Source organism: Homo sapiens, chromosome 17, assembly GCF_000001405.40.
Source record: "Homo sapiens chromosome 17, GRCh38.p14 Primary Assembly".
In the NCBI taxonomy this organism is placed as follows: Eukaryota; Metazoa; Chordata; class Mammalia; order Primates; family Hominidae; genus Homo; species Homo sapiens.
Window position 1 is genome coordinate 28,245,718 of NC_000017.11, and position 12,716 is coordinate 28,258,433.

Here is a 12,716-nt window from a genome sequence, read left to right on the forward strand (position 1 = left end):
TGAGCCTCAGGTTTCTCAGCAAAAAATTGGGAAATTATACCAATACTTTGACAGTCCCACTTAGAAAAAAAAACAATCCAGGTTTGGAGTTAGACTTTGGAGTTAGATTTTGTTCCAAACCCCGGATCTCCCACTGACTAGCTGTGTGGTCTGGAGTCAGTTACTTGACATTTCTGTGCAGATTTTGGAACCTGAATCTGTAAAGTGGGTTGTTGTGGGGATTTAGTGAGGTGACTGAGCTGGGAGCACTTTGGAAAAGGTGAGGCTTTACAAATGATGCTGGTTTTTAGCACTCCGCTGGAATGGGGGCTCTAGGATGGCTACCAGAAACTGGTACCCCCTCAACCTTTCCCCTGAACCTAGGCACATTAGTTCTCATTCTGCATCCTATGCACCCACCAAACGGCTTTCTCCAAACCTGGCACCCCACTTCTTTCCACCTTGCCTGAGGACCTGAAGCCTCTTCCCTGTTCCCACCTTGTTCTAGTTCCAAACTGCAAAGGATGGCCTGAGTTTCCATTCTTCATCCTGGAGGCTCCAGCTGCAGCCTCAATCTTCTGCCCCGAGAGAATCCATTTGATTTGGTTTGATCCTTGGGAGATGGGAGGGCCAGCTCCAAGGCCTGTGACCAAAACCTTTCAGTCACCCTGAAGTCCCATAACCCCATCTTTCTTGAACCAAGCCTGCTCTGGTGCCCAAAAGGAAGGGGTCTCAGCAATGGGGGCCCACAGGAGACTTTTGCTGTGATCCAGTTTTATTGACTATGCTGCTAGTCTGGCACCCCCAGCACTCCCGTCCCCCTCCCATCTCTGGCCCAGTAGTGGCGTTGCGAGTACCAGGGAGACAGTGGGAGGAGGGAGTAAGGGCTGCGGAGTGGGAGAGGCTGACAGGAGACGGGGACTCTAGGGGACTGAGGACTGAAAAAGCGGCCCAGCTGAGGGCAGGGACACGTCCTTGCTTGGTCCAGTGACCGTTTACTCTGGACTCTGGGTAAGTGGGCTCAGCCTGCTTGGGGATCTGGAGAACTCCCCCAGGCTGGGGTCTGGGATGGAGGGAAGGAGTTCGTGCTTTGCAGGGCCAGGGGCCTTCAAAGCCCTAAGGTCCTGCTTGGGTATTGCTCTGCATCTGGACACACCTGTCACACTAGGAGAGCCATCAGATGACTGCAAGTGTGTGTGCACACTCGTGTGCATGGCTGTGAACTGGAATGTGTCCCTGTGTGAGTGGCTGTGCCGGTCTGTGCAGGATGTCTTCTCCAGAACCCATATCTGTCTCTACTGTTGGGTGGAGGGCCAGACCCACAAGACCATGGATTTCTGTCCTTTGCTTCCCCAGTTCATTCCATGTCCCACACCCTGTGGGTGACCTGGTGTGCCCTTATTTCCCACTAGCTACTGCTGCCTCAGAGCCATGAGGACCTGGATGTCATGAGACATGTGTCTCCAGGACTCATGTCTCCATTTTCTCTGCTACACTTCTCTAACTTGCGAGGCCCTGGCTGCTGGGCTGCTCACAGGACAGGCTGTCCGTGCCTCCAGCACACTGTCTAGGAGGTGGAGTGGTCAGCTCGGAGTGGCCCTTTTCTCTGCCCTCTCGTCCCCAGGCTTGGAGAAATGGATGATGGGCTAAACGGCTGGGTAGATGGGCCCTGCTTCCGGGGCATAGGAAAATCTTCAGCATGGGCTCTTCCACCTCCACCTCCACCTCCCCTCTGCTAGCTCCTCAGATGGCTGCCGCATGCCGCTGCCTCTCCCTCCTGCTCCTGTCCACCTGTGTGGCTCTGTTGCTGTAGCCACTGCTGGGTGCCCGGGGAGCCCCGTTGGAGCCATTGTACCCAGGGGACAATACCACACCGGAGCAGATGGCCCAGTACACAGCTGAGCTCCGTAGATACATCAACATGCTGACCAAGCCTAGGCATGTGCCATGGACAAGGAGAGAGATCCCAGCCCCTGGGACCCTGGGCCCACTCCACATTCCTGGCCACACCCTATCCCCAGCCCAAGCCCCATCTCCAGCCCCAGTCCCAGCCCCTTCCAGGCCACTCTTGGGGAAACAGAGCATCTGTGCTGACCAGGCCTGGGCCCATGTGCCCTGGGCAAGAGGGTGCCTACAGGCGGATATGAAACCGGTGGGCTGGCACCTGGGCACAGTGCTTCCAGGTATGGAGAAAGAGACAAAGAGGACACGCTGGCCTTCTCAGAGTGGGGTCTTCCCATGCTGCTGCCCCCAGGTGAGTTCGACTCCCTACCCTGTCTGTCCAGCTCCCTGGGGGTGAAATGGGGATGGTGGGACTGAATCAGGGTTTGAAAAGGTGTGGTGGGGGGTGGAAGAGGGAGAACAGGAGCCCAGGGCTGGCCTGAGGCCTCCTGACGCACGAGGCCTGCCCCCCACACTGCCATGTTCCACTCTGTCCTCACAGAGAGCTCAGCCCGCTGGACTTGTAACACTACCTCCCGCCCCCTACCACTCCACGGGCAGTGCCAGCCCAGCTCTCCCCTCCACACTGTTGGCTCTGGCCGAAGCTCACTCCCTGTTCCTGCACAGGCTCAATAAAGCAAGTCAAAGCACAGCTTATCTCTGTGTCTCTGTGGACCCCTGGTGGGGGGCAGCAGGAAGAGCCAAATGCATGGAAAGGGGAGGGCAGGGCGGACGCAACAGGGAAAGCAGGCTGTGCTTGTAAATCATCCAGAACGTCCATGAGGTCATCAGTCACTCAGCTCATCCTCTCCACAGAGGGACAAGTTGTGGCCAGAGGAAGGCAGGGACTCCTCTGTGGTCATTCGGCAATCGGTGAAGTGGCAGTCTTGAGCTTGAATCTTCCCAGTTCAGCACCTGTAGACCCTCCCAACCCAGCCCCATGACAACCCTGCCCCAAGTGCACCAGTGCGTTCCTGTGGCTGAGGCAGCAGGAGCACCAAAAGGTATACTAAAGCATCCTTGGCATGGGGGCAGGGGCATCAGCCCAGCATGGAGGCACAATTCTGGTGCTATGGCAGTCATGGCTGCATCCAGGGGCCTGAGCTGCCGTCCAGAAATTTGGAGAGAATGGGCTGTCCGGAGAGGTAGTGAAATCCTGGGCGCAGGAGGTATTCAAGCTGCTGTGGAAAGGGAGGAGGCTAGATTAGCTGAGAGTTCCAGCCACTGCCATGAATCCAATCTGTGGATTCCACACTCCAGCTCTGGGAGGGCAAAGACCTGGATCCTGCCCCAAGGAGGACTGCCCGGAGTCCCAGTGCACCTGTCTCTTCCTGGCCCTTCTCAGTCATCCTGAATAGGTGGGGACAGAGCGCGCATGTGTGCGTATGTGTAAAGGGGAGAAGTGAGGAAACTAGAATGTGTCTGGTTCCTAGAATGGCTTCTCCTGCCTCCCCCACATGCTTGGCCTGAAGGGATGGGGTTATGGGTTTGGAGGATGAGGGGTCCACTTTCCTGAGCTCAGCACCTTGCACAGACCCCATGGAAGTGACTCCACAATTGTGTTTCCCCTCAAGTCCTGACTCAATCTGGTGTGTGCAAATGACCTGGAAGTAGAACCAGGTCCTAAAAGGCAAAGAGCTTTAAGAGGGTGCAGCTGCTTGGCTCAGATTGATTTTTTGTTTTTGGAGACAGGTGTTGCTCTGTCACCCAGGCTGGAGTGCAGTGGCATGAGCACAGCTCACCGTAGCCTTGACCTCCTGGACTCAAGCGATCCTCCTGCCTCAGCCTCTGAAGTAGCTGAAACTACAGGCACATGCCACCATGTCCAGCTAATTTTTTTATTTTTGTACAGACAGGGTCTTGGTATGTTGCCCAGCCTGGTCTCAAACTCCTGAGCTCAAATAATCTGCTCACCTCAGCCTCCCAAAGTGCTCCGGATTACAGGTGTGAGCCACCATGCCCAACCTCAGGTTGATTCTTAAATCCAAGGGGTGTCTGGATAGAGAGATGGCTTCAGCAAGAGAACAGTTTGAGTCTGAATAAGGGAGCCTGAAGTCCCAGCATTTTATCTGGCAGCTTAAGGGGATGGGGTGAGAATGGGGAGAGGTGTGGATACTTCCTAGAGCCAGGAGTTCGCAACCTGGAGACATACCTGGGTCTGAGAGTAGGATCAGGGCAAGGGGCTCTGCCCCCACCAAGCCTCTCTCATGGCCAAGGGAGCCCCCAGAAGAGAGAGAGCCACCCTCACGCCCAGCTTCTCAGGGACAGGCCCTGGCCAGGTCCACCCCTTCCCCCGCTCTGCTCACCCTAGAAGAGCTTAGAAGTTCAGGAGGCAAAGGCGGCCCCCTATACTCTGCACGGTAAGGGGCAAAGGCACCTCTTTTTGTTGCTGTGCCAACTCTGACAGCCCAAGCTGGGCTGTTTGGTAGAAACTTGGGTGAGGTGGGACTGGGGGTGTGTCTAGCTGAAGCTCTCCTTTGAGGTTCCCACTTCTCTCACCTCTGCCCTCCCTCTGCGTTGGAGTCTCCCCTACGCTAGTGGTGGTGTGTGGGGTGAGGTGGGGGAAGGTTGCTGGGGGAGTGAGGGGAGGACCCTTCCACCCAGCAGCTGAGGTTTTTTCTCCCACAGCAGGAACTCCAGGGTTCCCCCTCCCCATCGAAGGACTGGTCCCTCCCCGGCCCACAGAAGTCACTGAATCAACAGAGATTTGTCTTTGTTGTTTTCGCTGAGGGGGATGAGGAAGGGTTGAGGCCCCTCTCAATATAAAAGGGTTGGTGGAGGGCCAGGCGTCTGGAGGCCAAGCCCCAGCCTGGAGAAGGAAGCCCCAGGGCGCCAGTATCTCCCCGCACGCCCACCCCCGAGGGCTTCCTCTCGCTCCCACCCAAGCTGCCCCCAGTCCCGAGGCCCTTAGTTCGGTGCCGACCGTACAGGCTGTCCTACCTGGGGCCCCAGGAGGTTGGTGGTCGGGGTTCCGAGGTGTTCAGCCACTGGGGTTTCGTGGTGGTCCATGGAGGGGGTTTCGTGGCTTTCGGTGGGGAGGTGTTCGTGGCGTTTGCAATTTTCTTGTGGTTTTTAGATTTCTTTGTGCTGAGAACACGTCTTTGCAGCGGTCATGAGGCTGCTCCCAGAGCCCAGCTTGGGCCGCGATGCGCGTGGGGGTGCCCGGCGGCGTCCGTGTCCCCCCGCACCCTCCGTCGTCCTCCCTCCCAACCTCGCGCCCTCCGCCGGATCACCTGCTGTTGAAGAGCCTCCCCACGTACTTCTTTTTTTTTTTTTTTTTTGAGACGGAGTCTCGCTCTGTCGCCCAGGCCGGACTGCGGACTGCAGTGGCGCAATCTCGGCTCACTGCAAGCTCCGCTTCCCGGGTTCACGCCATTCTCCTGCCTCAGCCTCCCGAGTAGCTGGGACTACAGGCGCCCGCCACCGCGCCCGGCTAATTTTTTGTATTTTTAGTAGAGACAGGGTTTCACCTTGTTAGCCAGGATGGTCTCGATCTCCTGACCTCATGATCCACCCGCCTCGGCCTCCTAAAGTGCTGGGATTACAGGCGTGAGCCACCGCGCCCGGCCCCCACGTACTTCTTGATCGAGCCTAAATTCAGCCAGCTGGCGGCCCTGGACTGCTGCGGCACCTGCAGCCCCTCGCCCAGGGCGCCCTCCGGCGGCAGCAGCACCCACACGAGGCCGGCCACGACCAGAGCGCATGAGCAGCGCAGAGCCCGCGTCTGGAGGGGGCAGGGCGGACAGAGCCGCGGGCGGTCACGTGACCCCACGGCTGGGGTCGGCGCGATCCCTGACGGTAGCTTGCGGGTGTTCCGCGCCGTGGGCAGCCTGGCGTGCAGGGGCGCTCAGCCGAGGGACGTGGCTATTTCTGGGACACACACCAGTGCACGGACGCCCTAAGGGACATCCTGGTGCCCAGGGGAATGGTGCACACCTGGACATGCCCGGTGATGCACGCAGAAAGCATCGAGGTAAAAATGAACGGGGAGACACCTCTAAGGTGTACGCACGAGGACGGCATAAAACCATTGGTCAGCTCCCTAATCTCACCGACCTCTCTCCCGCAAATTCCTTATCGCCCTCCTTTCTCCCTGCCCTTCCCTCAAAGTGTCAGTCAGGTTGTCCTCAGCCCAGAAGACTCTTCCTCCAGACATCCTCATGGCCGGCTCTGTCGCCCCCTGGAGGCATTAGCTCAAAATCCACCTTTTAAATGGGTCTTATCCTGACACCCCTGTTTAAAATTGCAACCCGGCAGCGTGCGGTAGATGACGCCTGTAATCCCAGCACTTTGGGAGGCCAAGGCGGGCGGATCACTTGAGCCCATGAGTTCGAGACCAGTGTGGGCAAAAGACAGAGAGCCCTGTCTCAACAATTTAAAAAATAAATTTAAAAAAATTGCAACTCAACCCTTCATCTTGCTTTTTCTTGCTCTATTTTTGCACTTTCTTTTTTCTTCTTCTTCTTTTTTTTTTTTTTTAGACAAGGTCTTGCTTTGTTGCCCAGGCTGCAGTATAGTGTAGGGATCATGGCTCACGGCAGCCTCAAACTCCTGGGCTCAGGCCATCCTCTTGCTTCAGCCTCCCAAGTAGCTAGGTCTACAGGTGCACACAACCATGCCCAGCTAAATTTTAATTTTTTGTAGAAATGGAGTCTTGCTAGGTGGCCCAGGCTGGTCTCAAACTCCTGGCCTCAAGCGATCTTCCTGCCTTGCCTCCCAAAGTGCTGGGATTACAGGTATGAGCTGCCACACCTGGCCTGCACTTTCTAACTTATATATTCTATATTTATTATATTTATGTCCGATCCCTTCCCAGCGGCATCTCCTCCCTCAGTGTAGGCGTCATTAATTGCAGCTGGGCTCTTTGCTTATTTTGTCTATTGATGGATCACAAGCACCTAGAACAGTGCCTGGCACTTAGCAGATACTCAATAATACATATTAAATGAATGACTAACAGTTACACACAGGAACGCCAGCCTGATGATTCACACACCCAATGCACAGAGAATTTTGTGCCTGCAACACACCATGATTCACAGACTACGATGCCCATAAACATGATGCACACCCCCAGAGCTCCTAAGCCCCTCAACCCTCTTTTAACCGGGAACTCCACTCATCCCCACCATCCCAAGCAGGGATAAGAAGCCTTAGTAGCTGTCCTGACCATCAGAATGGCAGACGAGGCTGCCCTGGCCTAACCCCTTCATGCCCTTAGTGAGCCTGAGGAGGGCCCTTGGTGTCAGCCCCCATCCCCAGGCTCCTAGAGAATACAGCTGATAGGGGGCCCAAACATTACCATGGTGCTGGGCAGGTGCAGAGGAGCACAGCAAAGCGTCTCTGGCCAGGACCTGAGTCCCTTTATATTCCTAAGGATCCATGCCCCCTTTCCCGCTAAAGTTCCACTTCCAGCGCAGCCTTCTTTTCCTCCCCCTGTGTCATGACCTGAAAGTCCGGAACAGAGAGAAGGTGGGGGTGGAAGCACATGGGCTACCAGCTGTTCTGACCAGGGCACAGTCCCTGCCAGGGGCCCAGAGGTGTGGGTGGCAGAGGCAGGGAGGCCTGGGGAATAGGGTAATGTTTTGCTCCAAGTATACAGATCCAAGGAGAAACTGGCTCTGGGGTTGAGAGGGGGCTGTGCTTTTCCCAGGGGCTACTGTCAGGGAGTTATGCTGAGACCAGATGCCCCTCCCCATCTGGCTAGATCCAAGGTGCCTCCTTTCCTTACAGGGCTGCTGTGGGGTCCCAGCACCCCTTATTCCCCTTCCCTAGGCCTGCTGCCATGGGGAAGGGGTGGGGTTATGGTTTCTGGTTTCAGGATTGCAGGCCCCACTGCACAGCTTGGAGATTTTCTCAGCCTGCCTGGCCATTTTGGAGCCCCTGAGGCATGACCTGCTAAGCCTTCTGGAGGGTGGTGGGTCTTGACTGCTTGGATGATGAACTTAGGCCTTGGCTGCCTCAGGCCACAGAGCCTCAGCTGTGTGGCCTGTCAGGTCGCCTCTACCCGTTCAATATTGCCACCTTTCTGGGGCAAGGTTGTGAAATGTGCGCCGATTCTTCGTGCCCACCCCAACCCCAGAAGGGGCACACTAGGAAGAGCAAGGGCTTCTGGGTAGGAATCCTAAATTCACTACCTCCTGGCTGTGTGACCTTGATTAAGGGACATCATCTCCCCTGAGCCTCCACATCCTCATCTGTGAAATGGAGCTGGTTAGGACTGTTGTGAAGATGGATTTGGATTATGTAGCTCAGCCTTTGGACAGCTCCTGGCACATGCTAGATGATTAACAGGCGTGAGCCCCTCCATTCATGAAAGAAACGCTTTCTCCCATCTCCACTTCTGAAAGTGTCTCATCTTCTGGCCTCTTCTCCTTATTAAAACCCGCTCCTGGCCAGGCATGGTGGCTCATGCCTGTAATGCCAGCACTTTGGGAGGCTGAGGTAGGAGGATTACTAGAACCCAGGAGTTTGAAACTAGCCTAAGCAACATAGAGAGACCTTGTCTCTACAAAAAATTTTTTAAAAGCTAGGTGTGGCCGGGCATGGTGGCTCACGCCTATAATCCCAGCACTTTGGGAGGCCGAGGTGGGCAGATCACCTGAGGTCAGGAGTTCGAGACCAGCCTGACCAACATGGAGAAACCCAGTCTTTATTAAAAATACAAAATTAGATGGGCGTGGTGGTGCATGCCTCTAATCCCAGCTACTCGGGAGGCTGAGGCAGGAAAATCTCTTGAACTCGGGAGGCAGAGGTTGCGGTGAGCCAAGATCGTGCCATTGCACTCCAGCTTGGGCAACAAGAGCAAAACTCCATCTCAAAAAAAAAAGCTATGTGTGGGTGGCACATGCCTGTAGTCCCAGGTACTGGGGAGGCTGAGGTAGGAGGATTGCTTGAGACTGGGAAATTGAGGCTGCAGTGAACCAGGATTGCGCCACTGCACTTCCAGCCTGGGTGACAGAGCAAGACTCTGTCTCAAAACAACAACAAAAACAAACAAACAAGAAAACCCTGCTTTTGGTGGGGGTGTGAGAAACTCAATGTCAATGTCACTGAAGTTTATGGGATGGCTCAGTAGCCAAGTGAGACCAAGACTGCATTTCTATGGAGCCAATAATCTCTAGAAAAAGAAATGAGATTACCATGAAAAAATTCCATAGTACAGGGTGGGAGGAGATATCTAGGGACCAGTGTACCCTAAATACCAGTAAACAGGCTATTCCTTATTCCCATTAGTCACAGCCCAGTGCTGAACATCCCCCCGCCCCTACAAGAGCTCAAACGATGTGTCCTTTTGCAGTCTCAGCTGTCCTAACAAACCCAGGCTCTTTTGCAGGCACTGAGGGCTCTCAGCCCCTCACTCTTCTGGACTCCCTTACTAATTCCGGGAACTGTGGAGGGTTATGGGGAGGGAGGAAAGGTGGAAGAAAGGAAAGGAGGACGCTCAGAGGCTGCCTGCCAACCTCTGAGGGCAGGAGGCAGTGGTGGCAGCGCTGTGATGGGCAGGACGAGGGAATGCGGCTTGAGGACACAGCTCCAGGTGGGTATCCCTGTCAATCACCCCTTAAACTCTGACTGAAAGCTGCCATTTAAATGGACCTTCCAAATTCACTGTGGAGTATGTGCCCAGGTTCCCAGAGAGCAGCAGGACAGGGGCTCCAAGTTGGTGTGTGACCATTTGGACCGGCCCATTTCCAGGGCCCCTGAGATAAGCCCCGTGGGCTTCCTGTGAGGCATGATGGTTCTCAAATATCATTCTCTGCTACCCACTGTGGAACAGACCCAGTAATAGTGATCTTGAGTCTCCTGGCTGACTTGCCCCAGACTGACCATCCAACCCACTCTGGGACCACCGCTACTCCTCTCTGCTGGGGGTGGCCCAAACCTGGCCTCCCAGGGGCTCACTCCTTCCTACCTGCCCTCCAGTGCATCTGGGGTGCTGGTGACATCCCGAGAGAGACAGAGAGAGAGGCCATTAGCTAGGCTGCAGACCGTGGAGAGCAGCTGGCCTAGGAGGGGCCTGGCTGCCCTGTACAGCATCACTGCATTTTTTTTTTAAAGTCCCATAGAAGCCCTTTCCCCTTGGTGAGGGAGTCTCATGGTGTCCTGTGTTCTGCCCTCTAGACTGCATGCTTCCTGAGGGCAGCTGGGGTCTTGTTCAGCTCTGAACTTTCAGCATCTGGCACAGTGCCCAGCTCACCGTGGGCCTCCTTGGATGCTTAGGGGGTGGGTGGAGGTGGGAGGGAGGCAGGAGGAAGGGAGGGAGGAGCAGAAGGGAAGGAGGGACTCATGGATCAATGGATGTGACCCACAAAGGGACAAAGGGACAGATGAATGAGCGAACAAATACATGGCCTGGCTCACCTCCTCGGGCCTGGAAGCAGCTGCCACCCATGCTCACGTGTCCATGTGCTTAGCTTCACATGTGGATGTGGAAGAGGCAGAGGGAGGAAACCGAGGGACCCCCCATCTCATCTGTGGGCTCCTCCAAAACGGGCTTGTGTCTCCTCCTCTCTTGGATCTTCCTTGCTCCTCTGCTCCCCCAAACCTGAGGCTGGGCCACACCTGGCCTTCAACTGCCCCTTATTACCTCCCAGGACTCTTCTCATCTGGGACTTGCTAGGGCAGGAAGGGCAGTGTGGCCTGGGCACAGGGGCCAGGGAAGAGGAAAAGGTGGCCTCTCCCAGCCTCCTCCTCCCCCCAGCGTTCTTCTCCCAGCCCTCCTCCTCCCTGGCCCTCCTCCCCACCTCTCCTGAGCGGGCCCATCCTGCCCTCTAGGCTACAGTTCCAGCGCTCACGACGGAGCTGGAACTCAGGATGGAACTCAGGATGGGACTGAAACTGGAGCAGGCCCAGGTGTGCAGCGTCCCGCAGGGTCTCAGCCAGGTAGGGGTCCCTCCAGCAGAGCTGCTTCTGCCGCTGGGAAAACTTCAGCATCAGCAGGTCACACTGCTTCAGGTTGGCCCCACCCCGTGTTGGGGCCACCGCAGCGCCCAATCCTGGGAATGGCGTCAAGACCTCCCACCCCGTCAGGCTGGAGAGGGCAAGAAGAGGGAGATGGGTGAGCCTTGGGGATGGTGGCGTGGGGCAGATGAAGGGAAGGGGGCCTTCTCGGGGGCTTCATTTACTGCCCTTCTGGGTGGCAGGCTGACCCCATGGGGGTCCCATCCCCATTTTACAGATTAGGAAACCAAAGTTCCTGGAACAAGGTTTGCTGCAGGACCTTAAACCCAAGTTTTCCAGATTCCGATCTCTGCTCTTCTTATCCACCCTGTTTCCCAAACTTGCCCAGTTAGAAAAATCATCTGGAGTGCTTATTAAAAATACACTTTCCCAGGATCCATGCTGGGCAATTCGGAGTCTACTGGTCTGGAATTGAGCCTGGAAATATGTATATTTACCACATTCCCCGGCTAGCTTTTGTGATCCAAGAAGTTTGGGAAATAGCGCACATAGTATTTGTCGCTGCCTGGCCAGGAGAGCCACATTCCTAAGAGGAGGCCGGCAGAGGGGATGTGCACATTGAGCGGACACCCAGCCAAGGTCCCCTGACATCCCTCTCTCCCTTACATAATGTTGCTGCCCAGGTAATCCCATACCAATCTAACATGTTTCCATACTTCCCAGATAGACCTTCAACCATCTGACCACTTGGTGCCTGCTACAAATAGATGCCTGGGGAGGGAAGGGGAGGAAAAGAAAGGAGGGAAGGGGAGGAAAGGAAAGAAGGGAAGGGAGGAAGGACTGATGGATGGTTGGATGAAGGTGAAGGAGCTGAATTCCCATCAGGCCATCAATCCCAGACTTCTTGTTCTCCTAGATCCAAAGTTCATCGATTCTGGAGCCAAGCTGCCAAATTCTAAGACTGACTTTATAGCTGTGCGGTTTCCTTGGTTTTTCTCTTCTGGAAATTGGGGAGAGTGATCTTCTCTACCTCCTAGGGTTGCTGGGAGGATTATATGAAATGGACTAACCACATGCAGGCCTACCTTCCTGCTAACTGGAGTTTCCGAAATTTCTCTCGTTTTGCAATATGCTTTACTCTCCAACTAAGCAGAGTCTCCCCTTTGTCCAGATATGGAAATGATGGTTTAATGAGGAGGCTGCAACTGGCTTGGTCATTCAACATATTGGCAGCAGGGTGGAAATTGGAATTAGAGCTTGCCTTCCTTCTTCCCAGAAACTGTGAGATAGCTCTGCTGCTTCAAAATGTTTGCTGTCCTATACCCTGGTGGCCCCCAGTGTGGGTGGAATATACATCATTCCAGGACTCCCCCCCACCGAAAGAAGTAACCCCATTCTGGGGCATCCTGACCTCATAGCCATGGTAAAAGAGCAAAAGTGGGTTGGGTGTGGTGGATCACGCCTGTAATCCCAGCACTTTGGGTGGCCAAGGCAGGTGAATTTCTTGAGTCCAGAAGTTTGAGACCATCCTGGGTGACATAATGAAACCCCATCTCTACTAAAAATACAAAAATTAGCAGTGCATGATGGCACAAGCCTGTAGTCCCAGCTACTTGGGAGGCTGAGATGGGAGGATAGCTTGAGCCTGAGAGGCAGAGGCTGCAGTGAGCTGAGATCGCGTCACTGCACTCCAGCCTGAGCAACAAAGTGAGACCCTGTATCCAAAAAAAAAAGAGCAAAGCAAAGGTGGAAGCAGGGGATAGCTCTTAGAGCTCCTGCTTGGATGTGGCACTTGCCACTGTTGCTCAGGTGCCACTGGCCAAGGCAAGTCCTGTGGTCAAGCCAGGAGTGGTTAGAGAGGCCCACATCCCTCTGAGCCAAGGGCACAGCTC

General features: G+C 55.1%; 1 long non-coding RNA gene and 1 pseudogene across 2 annotated transcripts, besides 1 other annotated feature; one reads left to right on the plus strand and one right to left on the minus strand.

Moving 5' to 3' along the window:
* Window positions 1-736: 736 nt before the first annotated feature.
* On the minus strand, window positions 737-5,108 carry LOC105371712 (uncharacterized). Its single transcript, XR_934641.2, has 2 exons — window positions 4,861-5,108; window positions 737-3,101 (listed from the first exon to the last, which is right to left on the minus strand). It is a non-coding gene; the product is annotated as an uncharacterized LOC105371712 (long non-coding RNA).
* Window positions 1,727-2,572, plus strand: PPY2P (pancreatic polypeptide 2, pseudogene; annotated as a pseudogene). Its single transcript, NR_002181.1, has 2 exons — window positions 1,727-2,233; window positions 2,423-2,572. The product of NR_002181.1 is annotated as a pancreatic polypeptide 2, pseudogene (transcript).
* Window positions 5,658-5,707: a silencer, noted in NCBI's record as "silent region_8334". NCBI's record gives its function as "represses an Ori minimal core promoter by ATAC-STARR-seq in GM12878 lymphoblastoid cells {active_cell/tissue: GM12878}" and the evidence as "EXISTENCE:reporter gene assay evidence [ECO:0000049][PMID:35858748]".